General features: G+C 39.9%; 1 protein-coding gene across 7 annotated transcripts in view, besides 1 other annotated feature; it reads left to right on the top strand.

Annotated features, from left to right (window-relative positions):
* The window catches only part of CPNE8 (copine 8), a 254,633-nt gene that overhangs the window by 86,047 nt on the left and 143,116 nt on the right, over positions 1 to 25,470 (top strand). The gene's annotated exons all lie outside the window — the stretch shown is intronic.
* Positions 20,237 to 20,832: an enhancer, noted in NCBI's record as "NANOG-H3K27ac-H3K4me1 hESC enhancer chr12:39193759-39194354 (GRCh37/hg19 assembly coordinates)". NCBI's record gives its function as "activates a minimal SCP1, AML or CMV promoter by ChIP-STARR-seq in primed H9 embryonic stem cells {active_cell/tissue: H9 hESC(primed)}" and the evidence as "EXISTENCE:reporter gene assay evidence [ECO:0000049][PMID:30033119]".

Raw genomic sequence — 25,470 nt, 5'->3', positions numbered from 1 at the left:
GTTTTAGGTGCCAGTATTCACCCAGAGTTTCAACATTTGCAAGATATTTTTGTTTATATTTGCCTAACCTCATTGGGTTGGATTGAAAACCTGTTGGAAACATTATAACTGAAGGAAACAAGTGATAAGACATGATCTATATTATTTTGGAGGGTGAGTTCTAATAGTATTACCTTTATAGATTCAGCGAACATTCTCAGTTTCACTCAAATAAAGCTAATAAACAGGTTAGTTTTATTTGATACTTCACCAGCCTATAAAACTAATAAAGCTTGTTTATTAGTTTTATTTGGGTGACACTAAGAATGTTCTTAGTTTTCTAAATAAAACTAATTTATTCAGATGAGTTTCTATTTTTCTTTTCTTTCTTTCTTTTTTTTTTCTGAGATGAAGTCTCACTGTGTTGCCCAGGCTGGAGTAGAGTGGCACAATCTCGGCTCACTGCAACTTCTGCCTCCCGGGTTCAAGCAATTCTCCTGCCTCAGCCTCCTGAGTAGCCAGGATTATAGGTGCACATCACCACGCCCGGCTAATTTTTGTATTTTTAGTAGAGATGGGGTTTCACCATGTTGGCGAGGCTGATCTTGAACTCCTGATCTTGTGATCCCCCCATCTTCGCCTCCCAAAGTGCTGGGATTACAGGAGTGAGCCACCACGCCCTGCCAATTCAGTTTAGTTTCCAAATGGTTGCTTTTTGTATAGGAAGTGTTTAGAAGTTATATTGTGATAAAATCTTTCAGAGAAACTACAGTTTCCTCTACAGTGAAATTTATTGCTCCTTTCTTCTTTTTTTTCCTCTTGTGTATGGCATAGTTTGATGATTCTAGGATTCAAAATGCAGGCTAAGAATATTAGTTCTGTAGTTAAACAAACTAATAGGTGAGGAAAGACCTTTATGGACCAACCTTGGAACATAAGCATCACACTTATCTTGGTCTGAGTTATAACGCACTGATAAAATGAGTGTTTGGAAGGAACATTTGGGAATTATCTCTGCTCTTTTTTTTTTTTTTTTTTTTTTTGAGACGGAGTCTTGCTCTGTCACCCAGGCTAGAGTGCAGTGGTGTGATCTTGGCTCACTGCAAGGTCCGCCTCCCGGGTTCACACCATTCTCCTGCGTCAGCCTCCCGAGTAGCTGGGACTACAGGCGCCCGCCATCACGCCCGGCTAATTTTTTGTATTTTTAGTAGAGACAGGGTTTCACCATGTTAGCCAGGATGGTCTCGATCTCCTGACCTTGTGATCCGCCTGCCTCGGCCTCCCAAAGTGCTGCAATTACAGACGTGAGCCACCGCGCCCGGCCCTATCTCTGCTGTTATACTTATTCTCAGGTGGATGTTAGTTATCAAAGCAAATAAAAGGGAGCTGTGAATTGTTATTTTAAGTAATACCAGTGGCTAACTTGATTGCATTATAATAAGTCAGTTATGGCTAGCCATATGCAGAAAACTGAAACTGGATCCCTTCCTTATGCCTTATACAAAAATTAACTCAAGATGGATTAAAGACTTAAATGTAAAACCTAAAACCATAAAAACCCTAGAATAAAACCTAGACAATACGATTCAGGACATAGGCATGGGCAAAGACTTCATGACTAAAACACCAAAAGCAATTGCAACAAATGTCAAAATTGACAAATGGGATCTAATTAAATTAAAGAGCTTCTGCACAGCAAAATAAACTATCATTAGGGTGTACAGGCAACCCACAGAATGGGAAAAATTTTTTGAAATGTATCAATCTGACAAAGATCTGAAATCCAGAATCTTTAAGGAATTTAAACAAATTTACAAGAAAAAATCAAACAACCCTATCAAAAAGTGGGCAAAGTATGTGAACAGACACTTCTCAAAAGAAGACACTTATGCGGCCAACAAACATATGAAAAAAAGCTCATCAACACTGGTCATTAGAGAAATGCAAATCAAAACCACAGTGAGATACCATCTCATGCCAGTTAGAATGGCAATCATTAAAAAGTCAGGAAACAACAGATGTTGGAGAGAATGTGGAGAAATAGGAATGCTTTTACACTGTTGGTGGGAGTGTAAATTAGTTCAACCATTGTGGAAGACAGTGTGGGGATTCCTAAAAGATCTAGAACCAGGAATACCATTTGACCCAGCAATCCCATTACTGAATATATACCCAAAGGATTATAAATCATTCTACTATAAAGACACATGCACACATATGTTTATTGCAGCACTGTTCACAATAGCCAAGACCTGGAACCAACCGAAATGCCCATCAATGATAGACTGGTTAAAGAAGATATGGCACATATACACCATAGAATACTGTGCAGACATAAAAAAGGATGAGTTTATGTCCTTTGCAGGGACATGGATGAAGCTGGAAACCATTCTCAGCAAAGTAACACAGGAACAGAAAACCGAACACTACATGTTCTCATTCATAAGAGGGAGTTGAACAATGAGAACACGTGGACACAGGGAGGGGAACATCACACACCAGCACCTGTCATGGGGTGGGGGACCAGGGGAGGGAGAGCATTAGGAAAAACACCTAATGCATGTGGGGCTTAAAACCTAGATGATGGTTGATGGGTGGCAGCAAACCACCGTGTAACAAACCTGCACTTTCTGCACATGCATCCCAGAACTGAAAGTATAATTAAAAAAAAAATCAGTTACTATTCTACTGGCTTTGCATCTATTGACTCCTCTAACCTTCATAGCACTATTACGAGCTAGACAAGTACTGTTATTATACCCATTTCATCAGAGGGAGAAACTGAGACAAGATTCTGAAAAAACTAAGTTCAAATACAGGGTGTTTGGCTTTCATGCCTGCATGCTTAACCACAGCATTATATTGCCTTCAAAAAAATGAATAAATTGGCCAGGCGCAGTGGCTCACGCCCGTAATCCCAGCACTTTGGGAGGCCAAGGCAGGAGGATCACGAGGTCAGGAGATCGAGACCATCCTGGCTAACACAGTGAAACCCTGTCTCTACTAAAAATACGAAAAATTAGCCGGGCGTAGCGGTGGGTGCCTGTAGTCCCAGCTACTCGGGAGGCTGAGGCAGGAGAATGGCATGAACCCAGGAGGCGGAGCTTGCAGTGAGCTGAGATCGAACCACTGCACTCCAGCCTGGGAGACAGAGCGAGACTTTGTCTCTCACAAAAAAAAAAAAAAAAAAAAAAAGAATAAATTAATGTGTAACTTTAAACGAAATTTAAAAATTTGGTATCACTTTAGTAATACAGAATCATTTACTGAAGAGTCAAGAATATCTCTAGATGCAAGAAGAGCTCCCAGGGAACACCCATTCTGATTTAGGTCATTTCAAGGATGAGGTTCCTTCCTGGTGTCTGTTACCCATGCAACTCTTCCTCAAGCACAGTCCAGTGGCCCACCTTTATCTGAGATAAACAGGGCTCAACTATTTTCCAGAACAGAGCCAAGACAGTCTAAATATAGGAAGGCAATTGGAAGGATTAAAAAATAAATTCATTTTTAGTTTTGGAAATAAGTACTTCTGTTTTTTTCCCCTTATTTGGAAAATCATTGTTTTGAATTGACAATGTGGTAACAAGAAAACTTCACAGTGTTGTCATCGTACCTGGTCATTTTTTCTATTTGATAATTCAGGATGATTTGCCCAGTCTCTAACTCTACAGAGTTTTCTAGGGCTTTCTATCCTTTCAAAAGTTCCTGTTTAATTGGCTCACATATTCCCTGGAGAAAGGGAAGGGGAGAGATTAGACATACTGTTAGTGTTTGTATTCATTCATTCGTTTATTTAAAAAGCTTTTGAGTATTTAGCCTTGATTGGGCTGTGGCATCATTTTAGGTCCAGGTAGACTCAGTGCATCAGGCTGCCCTGAGAACAAATGCCAGTAAGTAAAAATTTCCAATAATCTTGACATTTCACTGTTTTCTTTGATAACAACAATAGTGATTGGACCCTCCCAGTAATTGTGGAGATAGATCAACTGGCTCTCAATTCTTTCACAGTTTGAGGTAACTCTGATGAAAGATTCTAAACATGGACAGCAGTTTAGTAAGTGGACATTCACAAATACAGCTACATTCCAGTATATATTTTTAATCATTAGCAGGAATTTATTTCAATTTTTAAAATAAATATACAATTTCTGGCTAACTGTGAATTGTTAGTTTTTCTGGTATTAGAGTGATGGTTCTTTCTCCCCTTTCTTTCATACTATTTTTGTTTGTTTTAAATTACCAATTTTTCTTTCTTAAGCAGGTCTGCTAAACAACAACAAAACAAAGAACCTTCAATAGTTGCTCCTGTTAGGTTTTTATTAATTCTCCTGTATACTATGACACAGGGAGTCCACAGCATGCTGGATCAAAGAACCTGAACAAACTTCTAAAACTCAATCAAGAGGCTGAATACCTTCCCCCATTTCTTTCTTTATAGAACAATTGTAAAGAGACTTCAAAAGAAAACATTATATTCTTTGTATTGTAGAGACCTGTTGTGCCTTGTAAATAGTAAGAGTTCAATAAATGTTTATTGCACTGAATTTTCCAGGATAATAGTCACATTTATATGTTTCCTCTTTTTCTCTTGATTATTTTAAGTATCTCTCCTGCACATTATAACTTTGCACTTGTTTCCCAAGACTTAGGAATTTTAAAATTCAGACTTTAAAAATACAGAATTTTAAAATTATAATAGCCTTGCTACATGTGTACCTTACCACATTATAAATGCAAACTATGATTTTAGTAATATTAGAAACCTCATATTTCTGTAGATGGATAGATAGATAGACCTAAGTTATCAGAGCACAACAATTTCTTGAAACATTTTTGACATATGTGGTATGTAAGAGCTAGGAATATGCTACTCTATTCAATAATTGTTTATTTTTAAAAACAAAATCTGAATCTCCAGAGGTTGAGCAGTTTACTTTGTTTTTGTTACTGAAAAATCTATGTATTACATAATTTATTGTACTCCTTATGATTCCTTACCATGATAATAACTATTTTGCTTTCCTTTTAATGTCAACATTTACATTCTAACTATAAAATGAGATCCCATTTAGTCTAATTACTATGTTAAAAATTACCGGGTAACAGATGGATTTTTTGATGAGCATAGTGTTTTAAATTTTAAACAAAAGTTGCAATTTTAGTTTCTGGCATATGATGTATTTTAACAGTGAGCATAGTGTGTTTCATGTGTGACAGCGAATTTATTAAAATCTTAGAAATGACATGTTGTTAATAATTTGAAAATAAAAAACTGCATAGAAAGATAAATGCATCTGCTTTAAATTAAATGAATCATTAGTTTTAAACTGTACTTGCATGCATCTTTTATTTTTAGTTGAGGAAAGATTGAATGACATGTGAAAAGCTCTTGGGCACAGTGTGATAGAGGATTAGATAATAAATATGACAACTAATATTTAATATGATATCTACTCAGCGTAAAAGGTGAGATTGTAAAAATAAAAGGCTAGGAGTGGTGAGAAGAGGAAAGGGTAAGTGCTGGGGGGCTTGAAAAAAGTTATTCATAATATTTGGAGAAGCTACTGAGCAGAAAAGGAAAATGTGCTTGGAAGGGTCACAGAACATTGCAGATGGAGCTATGGCTGGAGCCCAGGACCCAGTGGTGGCACCAGCCTGTTTGGCTCTGTAGTAGGATCCTGCAGTGCTCACACCACATGAGTCTGCCTAGGTGCAGAGAGGGCAAATAGCTGGGGTTGACGACACCATAGAAGGATGAGGTCAGTGTGAAAGGGTATTGAAGATGTGACAATAAATTTAATGAAATGTGTGACCAAAGCAGAAAGTATCATACGTAAGGTATTGCAGGTCTTATGTGGCTAACTTAAAAATATATATATATAAAGTTAAAATTGTTGACATATTCACTACCAAAATATAATTGTTTCAATGGGGTCCATGATGAACCTACAGAGGTTTCTAAGAGGACACTAAACAAGAAATAAAAAGCTATATTATTTGCTGACAGCTATAATTAGTGTTACTATAGTTTACAATCTAGTATAGAATATGAAATGCTATATATTAATAGTTATATAGAGAATATTCCAGACTGTGTCAAAGCATAAGATGTAGGCCTGTAAATGGATATTTAGTCATAAGATCTTAAAATTCCATTGTTCAGCAAAGAAAAATAAAAGCCACATAAATAGCCCACCCTAAATCAATAGGGGAAGGAAGTCAGGAGCAGGACTGGTTTTTAAAATTCAGGTCTGAGGTCACAAGTTCAAGACCAGCCTGATCAATATGGTGAAACCCCGTTTCTATTAAAAATACCAAAAAAAAGATTAGCTGGGCATTGTGGTGTGTGCCTGTAGTCCCAGTTACTCAGGAGGCTGAGACAGGAAGATTGCTTGAACCCAGGAGGTGGAGGTTGCAGTGAGCCAAGATTGCACCACTGCACTCCAGCCTGGGCAGCAGAGTGAGACTCTGTCAAAAAAAAAAAAAAAAAAAAAAAAAAAGCCAGGTCTGGCTCCTTAAACTTTCTTCAGTTTTTTTAATCTCACTACAGTTGAGATATATTTTCTTTTCTGGCTTAGTCAAGCATGTTTCTCCTCTTCTCCTAAGCAGTTGCATTTATCAAAGCTTTGCATTTCGGTACACAGAGGCTTCTCTAGAGACCTTGCCTGCATCTTGAACTTCCTCCCTGACAGCCCGCAGACCCACAGTTCTGCTTCTACCTCATGCTGCAGCTCCCCCTCCATTCTTTCTATCCTCAAAGACTCTTCTTGTACAACTACTCAGCTACTACTCCCTCTTCAACTCATTCTTCATGATTCCACTCCAGTGGCATACCTGGAGTCAGGGACCTCCTCCGTGTCATGTACCCCAGGTGCTTGCAGTTATCATATTTGGCCTCTCTGTGGCTATTGGAAATCTTGACCACTTCTTCCTTGAATCTCCTCTTCCTTTGCTTTCATGACACCATCTCTCTGAGGTTTTCTTCTGGCTCTCTCGATAGTTTTCACACTGTCTTTCGCAGGCCTAAGAATGACCTGGAATTTTATGCAGAATTCTGGGTGAAAATCTTTTCCTGAAAATTTCTGTAGCTCTTAATGGAGTCTCAAATGTGTCTGTGAATCAACAAAGTTTAAACCTACTGCCTGCAGTGTATATTAACCTGAGTGATCTATTACATGTCCCTGATTTTAACAGTCAACTTTATGCCATCAATGTTCATGTCTTATAACAATTATATTTCTCCCCTTGGCACAACTGCCCACTGAACATAGATGTCCCAAAGAAATCTCAAATTGAATAAGCCCCAAAATTGAATTTATCATTTATACCTCAAAACTCCTCCCGCTCTATTTTATTTCTGTGATAGCATCACTAGACAGTTTTCTAGGTTAGATAGCCAGAAGTCATATTCCAGTCTTTTTTCCCCTCTATCATTCTTTTCCCAATTAATGACCATCTTTTCTGGGACTCTTCTGTCCATCTCCACCTCCACTACCCTTGTGTAGCAACCCTTCTTATTTAGATCATTATATGGCTGTCACAACTGGCCTTTGATGTGTATGGTCTCATTATGCATTAGTCCTTTCTGTGTATAGCAGCTCCTAATTGTTTTTTCTGGAATAAGATATAAAATTCAGCCCCCTTTCCTTGTTTGAAATCCTCCAATTCTTTTCCATGCCCTTTGAAGAAAAATAATCTCAACTCTTTATGATAGCACTTGAGACCAAGCAGTTTATTCTCATATTCCTAAACACATCTTATGCTCTCAACTACTTAAATTTTCTCCAGTGGGCCGTATTCTCACAACAATGTATCTGCTCCCTATGTCGGAAAGGTACTTCTCTTAGTCTATTTTGTACTGCTATAACAGAATACCTGAGATTGGGTAATTTATAAGGAACAGAAGTTTAATCTTTCACAGTTTTGGAGGCTGCAGAATCCAAGATCAAGGCACAGTGTCCGGTAAGGACTTTCTTGCTGCATCTTTATATTGAAGAAGGCAGAAAGGCAAGAGGGGCACACTCTGTCCTCACATGGCAGAAGAGCAGAAGAGTGAGAAGCCACTTCCATAAACGCTTTTTAATAGTGGCGTTAATCCATTCATGGGGATGGAGCCCTCATGACTTAAACACCTCCCCAAAAGCTCCACTTCCCAACTGATATGGTTTGGCCATGTCCCCAGTCAAATCTCATTGTAGTTCCTGTAATCCCCACATGTTGTGGGAGGGTCCCAATGGGAGGTAATTGAATCATGGGGGTGGTTACCGTCATGCTGCTGTTCTCATGATAGTGAGTTTTCACGAGATCTGATGGTTTTTATAAGGGGCTTTTCCTTTTTTTCCTTGGCACTTCTCCTTCCTGATGCCATGTGAAGAAGGATGTGTTTGCTTCCCCTTCTGCCATGATTGTAAGTTTTCTGAGGCCTCTCCAGCCATGCTGAACTGTGAGTCAATTAAACCTGTTTCCTTTATAAATTACCCAGTCTCAGGTATGTCTTTATTAGCAGCATGAGAACAGATTAATATACCAACACTGTACCATTTGGGTGAATTTTCCAACACGTAAGTTTGGATGGGACACATTCAAATGATAGGACTATTTCTGCACCTGTTCAACTTGCCTATTTGTACTCACCTTTTTAGTAGACCCAGTTCCTGCCACCTTCTGTGTTAAATCTTCTTTGTCTCTGCCAGACCATGATTATTGCCCCATTTTTGGTGTTCTTCTATTGACTTTGTCTTACTTCAGTTTATATTGCCCGTTATCCTTTGTTGTTACTGCATCAGTGTCTGCATCAGTTATGACATCATTACTATGTGCTTATTTGCTTTTCTTCCCAAGAGACTCTCTAGGCTAGGGACCATATTTCTTCAACTTTGTGACCTCACTACCTAACATAATGCCTATAAAAGGGTAAGCACTACATACATTATTTTAAGAGCTGGAATCTTGCTCTGTCACCCAGGTGGGAATGCAGTGGCACAATCATAGCTCACTGCAGCCTCGAACTCATGGGCTCAACAGATCTTCCTGCCTCAGCCTCCCAAATAGCTAGGACTACAGGTGTGCACCACCACACCCAGCTAATTAAAAACCTTGGTTTGTTTGTTTGTTTCTTGTAGAGACATATTCTCACTATGTTGACTAGGCTGATCTCAAACTCCTGGCCTCAAGTGATCCTCCTGTCTCAGCCTCTGAAAGTGCTGGGACTTCAAATGTGAGCCACCATGCCTGGCCAATACATGTCTTTTAAACAATTATATTATGGAACCTAAGTTTGACTTTTTTTATGTTTCTTAATTTATATAACTGAAATCTTACTGTATATATTTTTGTGACTTGATTTTTTTGCTTAAAATAATTTGTGAGAACCATCCATGTAATATGTGAAGCCCTAGTTTATTCATTTTTTATTGCTATGTCAATTTTATGAATTACAAATAGATTTGCCTAGTATCTAGTCAACGAGCTTTTTTTGTTGTAGTTTAGTCTTTTTCTCATTGTTCTGTAATAATCTATTTTATGAATTATAAACAGATTTACCTAACATCAAGTTGATAGGCTTTTTTAGTAGTTTTTAGGTTTTTTTTTATATACGCAATACTGCAATAAAACTTATATGTCTTATATGCCTAGGAATGGAATTGTGAGATTACGGGTATGTGCAGGGTAGAAGGAAGAATTTTGGCTCTCATGATCTTAGCTATGTGGTGTCACACCCATAGTTAGGCTACTTTGCATGGCAGGAGGAAGTTTACAGGTATAGTTAAGGTTACTAATACGTTGAGCTCAAGATGAGGGTGGGCTTAATGTACTTACATGAGCCCTTCAAAACAGAAGAGAAAGGCAGACTAGGAAGTCGGAGAGATGCAGTAGGTGGGGAAGTCTAAGAGATTGAAAGAATGAGAAGGATTTGATCTTCCTTTCCTGGCTGGAAGATGTAGGGAGCCACATGGAAATCATGAGAAGAAAATGAATTTTGCCAACAACATGAATGAACTTGGAAGTGAAGTCTCTCTCAGATCCACTAGATAAAAACATAGACCACTTGACACTTTGATTTCAGCCTTTGAAATTCTAAAGAGAATACTTAGCTGATCCTACTGAAATTTTGATGTACAGAACTGACCAATGATGAATGGATATTGTTTTAGCCCACTAAGTTTATGGTAATTTGTTATGGCAATAGGATAGCCCCTATCCTCCACCCACTCCTCTTGCATAGAAGTGGGTGGAGAATGGGAGAATTTTGAAGAACATGTTAGAAAAAACTTAGAAAGCTTTGAATAGACATGATGAGTTGGGAAATACTCAGCTTACCCAAATGGCCGAAGACTCTCAAATGAAGAGATTGAGTATCAGGAAAGTCTACTCCAGAAAGAAGCATGAAGATGTGACTCTGATACTCCTGCTAAAACTTCAGGGAGATATACAATTAGAATATTCAGTTGCACAAAAGGCTCTTTGAAAAGACTGAATATGTGATCTCTAGACACTCTCAACTATCTCAGAAGAAAATAAATAGAGATAGTATTATCTAAGAAAGATCTGTGGAGGATGCCATTGCCTGGTGGAATGAGTCCTCATGACATATGCAGGAGACCCATAAAGATCTTGAGGATTTTTTGTCAGCAGAAGCACTGCCAACTTGGACTAAAAGAGAGAGAGGGAGAGTATAAATGAAAGTAGATTGTCATACCCTCCAACTTCTTCTGGCAGGAAACAGGCTGATAAAACTACTCAATTGCAATTTCTTGCTACCCTTTTACAAAAAAGGAAGAATGACTCAGTTGATGGAGTTGTGAACCATGAAAAAGCTCATAGAGTTTGCTCAGCTGGATTTCAAAATTATTTTGGACTCATGACTCCATTTTACCTTTTATTTCCTCCCTGTTTGAACTGGAATGTATATAACTGTTATCCTATGCTTGACCCATCATGTGTTGGAAGCAGATAATCTGTTTCTTTACAGCCACAGGTCCCTGATGGAGTGATCTATGTCCCATGATAGATTATATACAGAGCCCCAACCATATGTGATTTAAAGGATTTAGATGATGAGATTTGGAACATTAAAGCTGGTTAGATTTAGGGAAGATTTTTGAACTGAATTTGTGTTATAATGTGATGAGATCTTCAGGGACCTGGGCAGGGAGTGAATGTGTTTTTATATGGGAGGACCATGGATCATGAAGGCCAAAGGGTGAACTGTGAAAGCAAAATTCTGCCTCCATGATCCTCACTCTCTGATGTCACAACTATAGTTATGTTATGTTGTGTTATGTGGCAAAAGGAACTTTGCAGATGTAACTAAAATTACTAATCATGCTAATTAGCTGACCTTAAGATAGGAAGATTATCTTAGTCTATGTAGGTACACCTAATATAATCATGTGACCCTTTAAAGGCAGAAGAGATGCAATGCAAGAGAAAGTTAGACACTTGTAGAGTGAGAGGCACTCAACCTACTTGTTGCTGACTTGAAGACATGGAGGCCACGTGGAAACCGTGAGAAGGAATTAAATTATGTTTGCTATCAACCTGAGCCTCCAGATAAGAACACAAGCTGGCCGACACCTTGATTTCAGCATTGTGAGATCCTAAGCAGAATTCCCAGCTGAGCTCGCTCAACTTCTGACTTCCTAACTGTGAGATAGCATTATTTTAGCTGCTAAACTTGAGATAATTTATTTTGGCAATTTTAGAAAACTGACATAAGCAGCTTGAAATTTATTAGGTAACCAAATTGTTTTCCAAATGGTCATACTCAATTTACCTTTCATAGCAGTATAAAAGAATTCCACTTGTTTTTACTTTTTGTTGAAACTTGACACTTTCAGACTTAAATTTTTGTCAATATATCATATATTTTAATTAGCATTTACCTGTTTACTAGCGTGCTTGAAATCTACATATTTATTGCTTGTTTATCATATTCTATAAAATATTTGTTTATAACTTTGCCCATTTTTTCCTGTGAGGTGGTTTGCCAAAATTTTCTTACTGGTTTTTAAGCATTTTTTTATATAGTCTTTTTTTTATTTTATTTTATTATTATTATACTTTAAGTTTTAGGGTACATGTGCACAATGTGCAGGTTAGTTACATATGTATACATGTGCCATGCTGGTGTGCTGCACCCATTAACTTGTCATTTAGCATTAGATATATCTCCTAATGCTATCCCTCCCCCCTCCCCCCACCCCACAACAGTCCCCAGAGTGTGATGTTCCCCTTCTTGTGTCCATGTGTTCTCATTGTTCAATTCCCAACTATGAGTGAGAATATGCGGTGTTTGGATTTTTGTTCTTGTGATAGTTGACTGAGAATGATGGTTTCCAATTTCATCCATGTCCCTACAAAGACATGAACTCATCATTTTTTATGGCTGCATAGTATTCCATGGTGTATATGTGCCACATTTTCTTAATCCAGTCTATCGTTGTTGGACATTTGGGTTGTTCCAAGTCTTTGCTATTGTGAATAGTGCCGTGCAATAAACATACGTGTGCATGTGTCTTTATAGCAGCATGATTTATACTCGTTTGGGTATATAACCAGTAATAGGATGGCTGGGTCAAATGATATTTCTAGTTCTAGATCCCTGAGGAATAGCCACGCTGACTTCCACAATGGTTGAACTAGTTTACAGTCCCACCAACAGTGTAAAAGTGTTCCTATTTCTCCACATCCTCTCCAGCACCTGTTGTTTCCTGACTTTTTAATGATTGCCATTCTAACTGGTGTGAGATGATATCTCATTGTGGTTTTGATTTGCATTTCTCTGATGGCCAGTGATGATGAGCATTTTTCCATGTGTTTTTTGGCTGCATAAATGTCTTCTTTTGAGAAGTGTCTGTTCATATCCTTTGCCCACTTTTTGATGGGGTTGTTTGTTTTTTTCTTGTAAATTTGTTGGAGTTCATTGTAGATTCTGGATATTAGCCCTTTTTCAGATGAGTAGGTTGCGAAAATTTTCTCCCATTTTGTAGGTTGCCTGTTCACTCTGATGGCAGTTTCTTTTGCTGTGCAGAAGCTCTTTAGTTTAATTAGATCCCGTTTGTCAATTATGTCTTTTGTTGCCATTGCTTTTGGTGTTTTAGACATGAAGTCCTTGCCCATGCCTATGTCCTGAATAGTAATGCCTAGGTTTTCTTCTAGGCTTCTTATGGTTTTAGGTCTAACGTTTAAGTCTTTAATCCATCTTGAATTAATTTTTGTATAAGGTGTAAGGAAGGGATCCAGTTTCAGCTTTCTACATATGGCTAGCCAGTTTTCCCAGCACAATTTATTAAATAGGGAATCCTTTCCCCATTGCTTGTTTTTCTCAGGTTTGTCAAAGATCAGATAGTTGTAGACATGCAGTGTTATTTCTGAGGGCTCTGTTCTGTTCCATTGATCTATATCTCTGTTTTGGTACTAGTCCCATGCTGTTTTGGTGACTGTAGCCTTGTAGTATAGTTTGAAGTCAGGTAGTGTGATGCCTCCAGCTTTGTTCTTTTGGCTTAGGATTGACTTGGCGATGCGGGCTCTTTTTTGGTTCCATATGAACTTTAAAGTAGTTTTTTCCAATTCTGTGAAGAAAGTCATTGGTAGCTTGATGGGAATGGCATTGAATCTATAAATGACCTTGGGCAGTATGGCCATTTTCACGATATTGATTCTTCCTACCCATGAGCATGGAATGTTCTTCCATTTGTTTGTGTCCTCTTTTATTTCCTTAAGCAGTGGTTTGTAGTTCTCCTGGAAGAGGTCCTTCACATCCCTTGTAAGTTGGATTACTAGGTATTTTATTCTCTTTGAAGCAGTTGTGAATGGGAGTTCACTCATGATTTGGCTCTCTGTTTGTCTGTTGTTGGTGTGTAAGAATGCTTGTGATTTTTGTACATTGATTTTGTATCCTGAGACTGCTGAAGTTGCTTATCAGCTTAAGGAGATTTTGGGCTGAGACGATGGGGTTTTCTAGATATACCAGCATGTCATCTGCAAACAGGGACAATTTGACTTCCTCTTTTCCTAATTGAATACCCTTTATTTCCTTCTCCTGCCTAATTGCCCTGGCCAGAACTTCCAACACTATGTTGAATAGGAGTGGTGAGAGAGGGCATCCCTGTCTTGTGCCAGTTTTCAAAGGGAATGCTTCTAGTTTTTGCCCATTCAGTATGATATTGGCTGTGGGTTTGTCATAGATAGCTCTTATTATTTTGAGATACGTCCCATCAGTACCTAATTTATTGAGAGTTTTTAGCATGAAGGGTTGTTGAATTTTGTCAAAGGGCTTTTCTGCATTTATTGAGATAATCATGTGGTTTTTGTCTTTGGTTGTGTTTATATGCTGGATTACATTTATTGATTTGCATATATTGAACCAGCCTTGCATCCCAGGGATGAAGCCCACTTGATCATGGTGGATAAGCTTTTTGATGTGCTGCTGGATTCGGTTTGCCAGTATTTTATTGAGGATTTTTGCATCAATGTTCATCAAGGATATTGGTCTAAAATTATCTTTTTTGGTGTGTCTCTGCCTGGCTTTGGTATCAGGATGATGCTGGCCTCATCAAATGAGTTAGGGAGGATTCCCTCTTTTTCTATTGATTGGAATAGTTTCAGAAGGAATGCTACCAGTTCCTCCTCATGCCTCTGGTAGAATTCAGCTGTGAATCCATCTGGTCCTGGACTCTTTTTAGTTGGTAAGCTATTGATTATTGCCACAATTTCAGAGCCTGTTATTGGTCTATTCAGAGATTCAACTTCTTCCTGCTTTAGTCTTGGGAGGGTGTATGTGTCAAGGAATTTATCCATTTCTTCTAGATTTTCTAGTTTATTTGCGTAGAGGTGTTTGTAGTATTCTCTGATGGTAGTTTGTATTTCTGTGGGATCGGTGGTGATATCCCCTTTATCATTTTTTATTGTGTCTATTTGATTCTTCTCTCTTCTTCTTTATTAGTCTTGCTAGTGGTCTATCAATTTTGTTGATCCTTTCAAAAAACCAGCTCCTGGATTCATTGATTTTTGGAAGGGTTTTTTGTGTCTCTATTTCCTTCAGTTCTGCTCTGATCTTAGTTATTTCTTGCCTTCTGCTAGCTTTTGAATGTGTTTGCTCTTGCTTTTCTAGTTCTTTTTTTTTTTTTTAATGTTTTTTTTTTTTATTATACTCTAAGTTTTAGGTTACATGTGCACATTGTGCAGGTTAGTTACATATGTATACATGTGCCATGCTGGTGCGCTGCACCCACTAACGTGTCATCTAGCATTAGGTATATCTCCCAATGCTATCCCTCCCCCATCCCCCGACCCCACCACAGTCCCCAGAGTGTGATATTCCCCTTCCTGTGTCCATGTGATCTCATTGTTCAATTCCCACCTATGAGTGAGAATATGCGGTGTTTGGTTTTTTGTTCTTGCGATAGTTTACTGAGAATGATGGTTTCCAATTTCATCCATGTCCCTACAAAGGACATGAACTCATCATTTTTTATGGCTGCATAGTATTCCATGGTGTATATGTGCCACATTTTCTTAATCCAGTCTATCATTGTTGGACATTTGGGTTGGTTCCAAGTCTTTGCTATTGTGAATAGTGCCACAATAAACATACGTGTGCATGTGTCTTTATAGCAGCATGATTTATAGTCCTTTGGGTATATACCCAGTAATGGGATGGCTGAGTCAAATGGTATTTCTAGTTCTAGATCCCTGAGGAATCGCCACACTGACTTCCACAATGGTTGAACTAGTTTACAGTCCCACCAACAGTGTAAAAGTGTTCCTATTTCTCCACATCCTCTCCAGCACCTGTTGTTTCCTGACTTTTTAATGATTGCCATTCTAACTGGTGTGAGATGATATCTCATAGTGGTTTTGATTTGCATTTCTCTGATGGCCAGTGATGATGAGCATTTCTTCATGTGTTTTTTGGCTGCATAAATGTCTTCTTTTGAGAAGTGTCTGTTCATGTCCTTCGCCCACTTTTTGATGGGGTTGTTTGTTTTTTTCTTGTAAATTTGTTTGAGTTCATTGTAGATTCTGGATATTAGCCCTTTGTCAGATGAGTAGGTTGCGAAAATTTTCTCCCATGTTGTAGGTTGCCTGTTCACTCTGATGGTAGTTTCTTTTGCTGTGCAGAAGCTCTTTAGTTTAATTAGATCCCATTTGTCAATTTTGGCTTTTGTTGCCATTGCTTTTGGTGTTTTGGACATGAAGTCCTTGCCCACGCCTATGTCCTGAATGGTAATGCCTAGGTTTTCTTCTAGGGTTTTTATGGTTTTAGGTCTAACGTTTAAATCTTTAATCCATCTTGAATTGATTTTTGTATAAGGTGTAAGGAAGGGATCCAGTTTCAGCTTTCTACATATGGCTAGCCAGTTTTCCCAGCACCATTTATTAAATAGGGAATCCTTTCCCCATTGCTTGTTTTTCTCAGGTTTGTCAAAGATCAGATAGTTGTAGATATGCAGCATTATTTCTGAGGGCTCTGTTCTGTTCCATTGATCTATATCTCTGTTTTGGTACCAGTACCATGCTGTTTTGGTTACTGTAGCCTTGTAGTATAGTTTGAAGTCAGGTAGTGTGATGCCTCCAGCTTTGTTCTTTTGGCTTAGGATTGACTTGGCGATGCGGGCTCTTTTTTGGTTCCATATGAACTTTAAAGTAGTTTTTTCCAATTCTGTGAAGAAAGTCATTGGTAGCTTGATGGGGATGGCATTGAATCTGTAAATTACCTTGGGCAGTATGGCCATTTTCACGATATTGATTCTTCCTACCCATGAGCATGGAATGTTCTTCCATTTGTTTGTGTCCTCTTTTATTTCCTTGAGCAGTGGTTTGTAGTTCTCCTTGAAGAGGTCCTTCACATCCCTTGTAAGTTGGATTCCTAGATATTTTATTCTCTTTGAAGCAATTGTGAATGGGAGTTCACTCATGATTTGGCTCTCTGTTTGTCTGTTGTTGGTGTATAAGAATGCTTGTGATTTTTGTACATTGATTTTGTATCCTGAGACTTTGCTGAAGTTGCTTATCAGCTTAAGGAGATTTTGGGCTGAGACGTTGGGGTTTTCTAGATAAACAATCATGTCGTCTGCAAACAGGGACAATTTGACTTCCTTTTTTTCCTAATTGAATACCCTTTATTTCCTTCTCCTGCCTGATTGCCCTGGCCAGAACTTCCAACACTATGTTGAATAGGAGCGGTGAGAGAGGGCATCCCTGTCTTGTGCCAGTTTTCAAAGGGAATGCTTCCAGTTTTTGCCCATTCAGTATGATATTGGCTGTGGGTTTGTCATAGATAGCTCTTATTATTCTGAAATACGTCCCATCAATACCTAATTTATTGAAAGTTTTTAGCATGAAGGGTTGTTGAATTTTGTCAAAGGCTTTTTCTGCATCTATTGAGATAATCATGTGGTTTTTGTCTTTGGTTGTGTTTATATGCTGGATTACATTTATTGATTTGCGTATATTGAACCAGCCTTGCATCCCAGGGATGAAGCCCACTTGATCATGGTGGATAACCTTTTTGATGTGCTGCTGGATTCGGTTTGCCAGTATTTTATTGAGGATTTTTGCATCAATGTTCATCAAGGATATTGGTCTAAAATTCTCTTTTTTGGTTGTGTCTCTGCCCGGCTTTGGTATCAGAATGATGCTGGCCTCATAAAATGAGTTAGGGAGGATTCCCTCTTTTTCTATTGATTGGAATAGTTTCAGAAGGAATGGTACCAGTTCCTCCTTGTACCTCTGGTAGAATTCGGCTGTGAATCCATCTGGTCCTGGACTCTTTTTGGTTGGTAAACTATTGATTATTGCCACAATTTCAGAGCCTGTTATTGGTCTATTCAGAGATTCAACTTCTTCCTGGTTTAGTCTTGGGAGACTGTATGTGTCGAGGAATGTATCTATTTCTTCTAGATTTTCTAGTTTATTTGCGTAGAGGTGTTTGTAGTATTCTCTGATGGTAGTTTGTATTTCTGTGGGATCGGTGGTGATATCCCCTTTATCATTTTTTATTGTGTCTATTTGATTCTTCTCTCTTTTTTTCTTTATTAGTCTTGCTAGCGGTCTATCAATTTTGTTGATCCTTTCAAAAAACCAGCTCCTGGATTCATTGATTTTTGGAAGGGTTTTTTGTCTCTATTTCCTTCAGTTCTGCTCTGATTTTAGTTATTTCTTGCCTTCTGCCAGCTTTTGAATGTGTTTGCTCTTGCTTTTATAGTTCTTTTAATTGTGATGTTAGGGTGTCAATTTTGGATCTTTCCTGCTTTCTCTTGTAGGCGTTTAGTGCTATAAATTTCCCTCTACACACTGCTTTGAATGCGGCCCAGAGATTCCGGTATGTGGTGTCTTTGTTCTCGTTGGTTTCAAAGAACATCTTTATTTCTGCCTTCATTTTGTTATGTACCCAGTAGTCATTCAGGAGCAGGTTGTTCAGTTTCCATGTAGTTGAGTGGCTTTGAGTGAGATTCTTAATCCTGAGTTCTAGTTTGATTGCACTGTGGTCTGAGAGATAGTTTGTTATAATTTCTGTTCTTTTACCTTTGCTGAGGAGAGCTTTACTTCCAACTATGTGGTCAATTTTGGAATAGGTGTGGTGTGGTGCTGAAAAAAATGTATATTCTGTTGATTTGGGGTGGAGAGTTCTGTAGATGTCTATTAGGTCTGCTTGGTGCAGAGCTGAGTTCAATTCCTGGGTATCCTTGTTGACCTTCTGTCTCGTTGATCTGTCTAATGTTGACAGTGGGGTGTTAAAGTCTCCCATTATTAATGTGTGGGAGTCTAAGTCTCTTTGTAGGTCACTCAGGACTTGCTTTATGAATCTGGGTGCTCCTGTATTGGGTGCATAAATATTTAGGATAGTTAGCTCCTCTTGTTGAATTGATCCCTTTACCATTATGTAATGGGCTTCTTTGTCTCTTTTGATCTTTGTTGGTTTAAAGTCTGTTTTATCAGAGACTAGGATTGCAACCCCTGCCTTTTTTTGTTTTCCATTGGCTTGGTAGATCTTCCTCCATCCTTTTATTTGGAGCCTATGTGTGTCTCTGCACGTGAGATGGGTTTCCTGAATACAGCACACTGATGGGTCTTGACTCTTTATCCAACTTGCCAGTCTGTGTCTTTTAATTGCAGAATTTAGTCCATTTATATTTAAAGTTAATATTGTTATGTGTGAATTTGATCCTGTCATTATGATGTTAGCTGGTGATTTTGCTCATTAGTTGATGCAGTTTCTTCCTAGTCTCGATGGTCTTTACATTTTGGCATGATTTTGCAGCGGCTGGTACCGGTTGTTCCTTTCCATGTTTAGCGCTTCCTTCAGGAGCTCTTTTAGGGCAGGCCTGGTGGTGACAAAATCTCTCACCATTTGCTTGTCTATAAAGTATTTTATTTCTCCTTCACTTATGAAGCTTAGTTTGGCTGGATATGAAATTCTGGGTTGAAAATTCTTTTCTTTAAGAATGTTGAATATTGGCCCCCACTCTCTTCTGGCTTGTAGGGTTTCTGCCGAGAGATCCGCTGTTAGTCTGATGGGCTTTCCTTTGAGGGTAACCCGACCTTTCTCTCTGGCTGCCCTTAACATTTTTTCCTTCATTTCAACTTTGGTGAATCTGACAATTATGTGTCTTGGAGTTGCTCTTCTCGAGGAGTATCTTTGTGGCGTTCTCTGTATTTCCTGAATCTGAACGTTGGCCTGCCTTGCTAGATTGGGGAAGTTCTCCTGGATAATATCCTGCAGAGTGTTTTCCAACTTGGTTCCATTCTCCCCATCACTTTCAGGTACACCAATCAGACGTAGATGTGGTCTTTTCACGTAGTCCCATATTTCTTGGAGGCTTTGCTCATTTCTTTTTATTCTTTTTTCTCTAAACTTCCCTTCTTGCTTCATTTCATTCATTTCATCTTCCATTGCTGATACCCTTTCTTCCAGTTGATCGCATCGGCTCCTGAGGCTTCTGCATTCTTCACGTAGTTCTCGAGCCTTGGTTTTCAGCTCCATCAGCTCCTTTAAGCACTTCTCTGTATTGGTTATTCTAGTTATACATTCTTCTAAATTTTTTTCAAAGTTTTCAACTTCTTTGCCTTTGGTTTGAATGTCCTCCCGTAGCTCAGAGTAATTTGATCGTCTGAAGCCTTCTTCTCTCAGCTCGTCAAAATCATTCTCCATCCAGCTTTGTTCCGTTGCTGGTGAGGAACTGCGTTCCTTTGGAGGAGGAGAGGGGCTCTGCGTTTTAGAGTTTCCAGTTTTTCTGTTCTGTTTTTTCCCCATCTTTGTGGTTTTATCTACTTTTGGTCTTTGATGATGGTGATGTACAGATGGGTTTTTGGTGTAGATGTCCTTTCTGGTTGTTAGTTTTCCTTCTAACAGACAGGACCCTCAGCTGCAGGTCTGTTGGAATACCCTGCCATGTGAGGTGTCAGTGTGCCCCTGCTGGGGGGTGCCTCCCAGTTAGGCTGCTCGGGGGTCAGGGGTCAGGGACCCACTTGAGGAGGCAGTCTGCCCGTTCTCAGATCTCCAGCTGCGTGCTGGGAGAACCACTGCTCTCTTCAAAGCTGTCAGACAGGGACACTTAAGTCTGCAGAGGTTACTGCTGTCTTTTTGTTTGTCTGTGCCCTGCCCCCAGAGGTGGAGCCTACAGAGGCAGGCAGGCCTCCTTGAGTTGTGGTGGGCTCCACCCAGTTCGAGCTTCCTGGCTGCTTTGTCTACCTAAGCAAGCCTGGGCAATGGCGGGCGCCCCTCCCCCAGCCTCGTTGCCGCCTTGCAGTTTGATCTCAGACTGCTGTGCTAGCAATCAGCGAGATTCCGTGGGCGTAGGACCCTCTGAGCCAGGTGTGGGATACAGTCTCGTGGTGCGCCGTTTCTTAAGCCGGTCTGAAAAGCGCAATATTCGGGTGGGAGTGACCCGATTTTCCAGGTGCGTCAGTCACACCTTTCTTTGACTCGGAAAGGGAACTCCCTGACCCCTTGCGCTTCCCAGGTGAGGCAATGCCTCGCCCTGCTTCGGCTCGCGCACGGTGCGCGCACACACTGGCCTGCGCCCACTGTCTGGCACTCCCTAGTGAGATGAACCCGGTACCTCAGATGGAAATGCAGAAATCACCCGTCTTCTGCGTCGCTCACGCTGGGAGCTGTAGACCGGAGCTGTTCCTATTCGGCCATCTTGACTCCTCCACTTTTCTAGTTCTTTTAATTGTGATGTTAGGGTGTCAGTTTTGGATCTTTCCTGCTTTCTCTTGTGGGCATTTAGTGCTATAAATTTCCCTCTACACACTGCTTTGAATGCGTCCCAGAGATTCTGGTATGTTGTGTCTTTGTTCTCGTTGGTTTAAAAGAATATCTTTTTTTCTGCCTTCATTTCCTTATGTACCCAGTAGTCATTCAGGAGCAGGTTGTTCAGTTTCCATGTAGTTGAGCAGTTTAGAGTGAGTTTCTTAATCCTGAGTTCTAGTTTGATTGCACTGTGGTCTGAGAGACAGTTTGTTGTAATTTCTGTTGTGTTACATTTGCTGAGGAGAGCTTTACTTCCAAGTATGTGGTCAATTTTGGAATAGGTGTGGTGTGCTGAAAAAAATGTATATTCTGTTGATTTAGGGTGGAGAGTTCTGTAGATGTCTATTAGGTCCCCTTGGTGCAGAGATGAGTTCAATTCCCGGGTATGCTTGTTAACTTTCTGTCTCGTTGATCTGTCTAATGTTGACAGTGGGGTGTTAAAGTCTCCCATTATTATTGTGTGGGAGTCTAAGTCTCTTTGTAGGTCACTGAGGACTTGCTTTATGAATCTGGGTGCTCCTGTATTGGGTGAATATATATTTAGGACAGTTAGCTCTTCTTATTGAATTGATCCCTTTACCATTATGTAATGGCCTTCTTTGTCTCTTTTGATCTTTGTTGGTTTAAAGTCTGTTTTATCAGAGACTGGGATTTCAACCCCTGCCTTTTTTTGTTTTCCATTTGCTTGGTAGATCTTCCTCCATCCTTTTATTTTGAGCCTATGTGTGTCTCTGCATGTGAGATAGGTTTCCTGAATACAGCACACTGATGGATCTTGAGTCTTTATCCAATTTGCCAGTCTGTGTCTTTCAATTGGAGCATTTAGTCCATTTTCATTTAAAGTTAATATTGTTATGTGTGAATTTGATCCTGTCATTATGATGTTAGCTCGTTATTTTGCTCGTTAGTTGATGCAGTTTCTTCCTAGTCTCGATGGTCTTTACAATTTGGCATGTTTTTGCAGTGGCTGGTACCGGTTGTTCTTTCCATGTTTAGTGCTTCCTTCAGGAGCTCTTTTAGGGCAGGCCTGGTGGTGACAACATCTCTCAGCATTTGCTTGTCTGTAAAGTATTTTATTTCTCCTTCACTTATGAAGCTTAGTTTGGCTGGATATGAAATTCTGGGTTGAAAATTCTTTTCTTTAAGAAAGTTGAATATTGGCCCCCACTGTCTTCTGGCTTGTAGAGTTTCTGCGGAGAGATCAGCTGTTAGTGTGATGGGCTTCCCTTTGTGGGTAACCCGACCTTTCTCTCTGGCTGCCCTTAACATTTTTTCCTTCATTTCAACTTTGGTGAATCCGACAATTATGTGTCTTGGAGTTGCTCTTCTCAAGGAGTATCTTTGTGGCGTTCTCTGTATTTCCTGAATCTGAATGTTGGCCTGCCTTGCTAGATTGGGGAAGTTCTCCTGGATAATGTCTTGCAGAGTGTTTTCCAACTTGGTTCCATTCTCCCTGTCACTTTCAGGTACACCAATGAGACGTAGATTTGGTCTTTTCACATAGTCCCATATTTCTTGGAGGCTTTCTTCATTTCTTTTTATTCTTTTTTCTCTAAACTTCCCTTCTCGCTTCATTTCATTCATTTCATCTTCCATCACTGATACCCTTTCTTCTAGTTGATCACATCAGCTCCTGAGGCTTCTGCATTCTTCACGTAGTTCTCGAGCCTTTGCTTTCAGCTCCATCAGCTCCTTTAAGCACTTTTCTGTATTGGTTATTCTAGTTATACATTCGTCTAAATTTTTTTCAAAGTTTTTAACTTCTTTGCCATTGGTTCAAACTTCCTCCTTTAGCTCGGAGTAGTTTGATCTTCTGAAGCCTTCCTCTCTCTACTCGTCAAAGTCATTCTCCGTCCAGCTTTGTTCTGTTGCTGGTGAGGAACTGGGTTCCTTTGGAGGAGGAGAGGCACTCTGCTTTTTAGAGTTTCCAGTTTTTCTGCTCTGTTTTTTCCCCATCTTTGTGGTTTTATCTACTTTTGGTCTTTGATGATGGTGATGTACAGATGGGGTTTTGGTGTGGATGTCCTCTCTGTTTGTTAGTTTTCCTTCTAACAGACAGGACCCTCAGCTGCAGGTCTGTTGGAGTTTGCTGGAGGTCCACTCCAGACCCTGTTTGCCTGGGTATCCGCAGCCGTGTCTGCAGAAGAGCGGATTTTCGTGAAACACGAATGCTGCCGTCTGCTAGTTCCTCTGGAAGTTTTGTCTCAGAGGAGTACCTGGCCGTGTGAGGTGTCAGTCTGCCCCTACTGGGGGGTGCCTCCCAGTTAGGCTGCTCGGGGGTCAGGGGTCAGGGACGCAGTTGAGGAGGCAGTCTGCCCGTTCTCAGATCTCCAGCTGAGTGCTGGGAGAACCACTGCTCTGTTCAAAGCTGTCAGACAGGGACATTTACGTCTGCAGAGGTTACTGCTGTCTTTTTGTTTGTCTGTGCCCTGCCCCCAGAGGTGGAGCCTACAGAGGCAGGCAGGCCTCCTTGAGCTGTGGTGGGCTCCACCCAGTTCGAGCTTCCCGGCTGCTTTGTTTACCTAAGCAAGCCTGGGCAATGGCGGGCACCCGTCCCCCAGCCTTGCTGCCGCCTTGCAGTTTGATCTCATACTGCTGTGCTAGCAATCAGCGAGACTCCATGGACGTAGGACCCTCTGAGCCATGTGCGGGATATAATCTCCTGGTGCGCCATTTTTTAAGCCCGTCGGAAAAGCGCAGTATTAGGGTGGGAGTGACCCGATTTTCCAGGTGCCGCCTGTCACCCCTTTCTTTGACTAGGAAAGGGAACTCCCTGACCACTTGAGCTTCCCGAGTGAGGCAATTCCTCACCCTGCTTTGGCTTGGACATGGTGCGCTCCACCCACTGTCCTGCGCCCACTGTGTGGCACTCCCTAGTGAGATGAACCTGGTACCTCAGATGGAAATGCAGAAATCCCCCGTCTTCTGCGTCACTCACGCTGGGAGCTGTAGACCGGAGCTGTTCCTATTCGGCCATCTTGGCTGCCTCCCTTTTTTATATAGTCTTGATACTATTTTTGTTGTTCAACTATTTTGAAAACATCTCCCAGAGTATGACTTTTTCTTCTATTTTTTATATACTATGCTTTGATGAATAGGAATTCTTAATTTTAATGTGAAATCATCAATCTTTTATCATTTTTACTTTTATGACTTGTTAAAGAAATTTTTATTGCCCTAAATTTGCATTATTTTATAAAAACTAAATATTTTTGTCTTTTCCTTTTGAGTTCAAGATTTTTTTTTTGTTTTTAATTTTTTGAGATGGAGTCCCACTCTCTCTCCCAGGCTGGAGTGCAGTAGCACGATCTTGGCTCACTGCAACTCCTGCCTCCCAAGTTCAAGTGCTTCTTTTGCCTTAGCCTCCCAAGTAGCTGGAATTACAGGCATGCACTGCCACATCTGGCTAATTTTTTATGTTTTTGGTAGAGATGGCCATGTTATATTTGTGGTAGAGACGGCCTTCACCATGTTGACCAGGCTGGTCTCTAACTCCTGAACTCAAGTGATCTGCCTGCCTCGGCCTCTCAAAGTGCTGGGATTACAGGCGTGACCACCGTTCCTGGCCTGAGTTCAGGATTTTAAAATGTTACACAGTCTTGTATTCTCAGAATAACCTCAACTGGTCATGTTGTATTATCTATCTTCTATCTATCTATCTATCTATCTATCTATCTATCCATCCATCCATCTATCATCATATTTACCATTTTAAGTGTACAGTTTAGTAGTGTTAAATATATTCACATTGCCATGAGACAGATCTCTAGAACTTTTTCATCTTACAAAACTGAAACTCTGTACTCATTAAACAACACTCCTTTTCCTCTTCCCTCTAGCTGCCGGTAATTACCATTCTACTTTCTCTTTCTATAAATTTGATTACTTTAGATATTTCATATATGTGGGATTATACAGTATCTTCTGTGACTGGCTTATTTCACTTAGCATAATGTCTTCAAGATTCATTCTTGTAGTATGTTATGGGATTTCTGCCTTTTTAAAGACTGCGTAACATTCCATCCTATGTATATACCACATTTTGCTTATTCATTCATCTGTGGATAGATTTTTGGGTTGCTTCTACTTCTTAGATATTGTGAATAGTGCCGCTATTAACATAGGTGTGCAAATATCTCTTCAAGACCCTGCTTTCAATTATTTTGAATATACACATGGAAGTGGGATTGCGGATCATATGGTAGATCTACTTTTAATTTTTTAAGGGA

The sequence above is a fragment of the Homo sapiens genome, chromosome 12, assembly GCF_000001405.40.
Source record: "Homo sapiens chromosome 12, GRCh38.p14 Primary Assembly".
NCBI lineage: Eukaryota > Metazoa > Chordata > Mammalia > Primates > Hominidae > Homo > Homo sapiens.
This window is presented reverse-complemented; position numbering and strand designations above follow the sequence as displayed.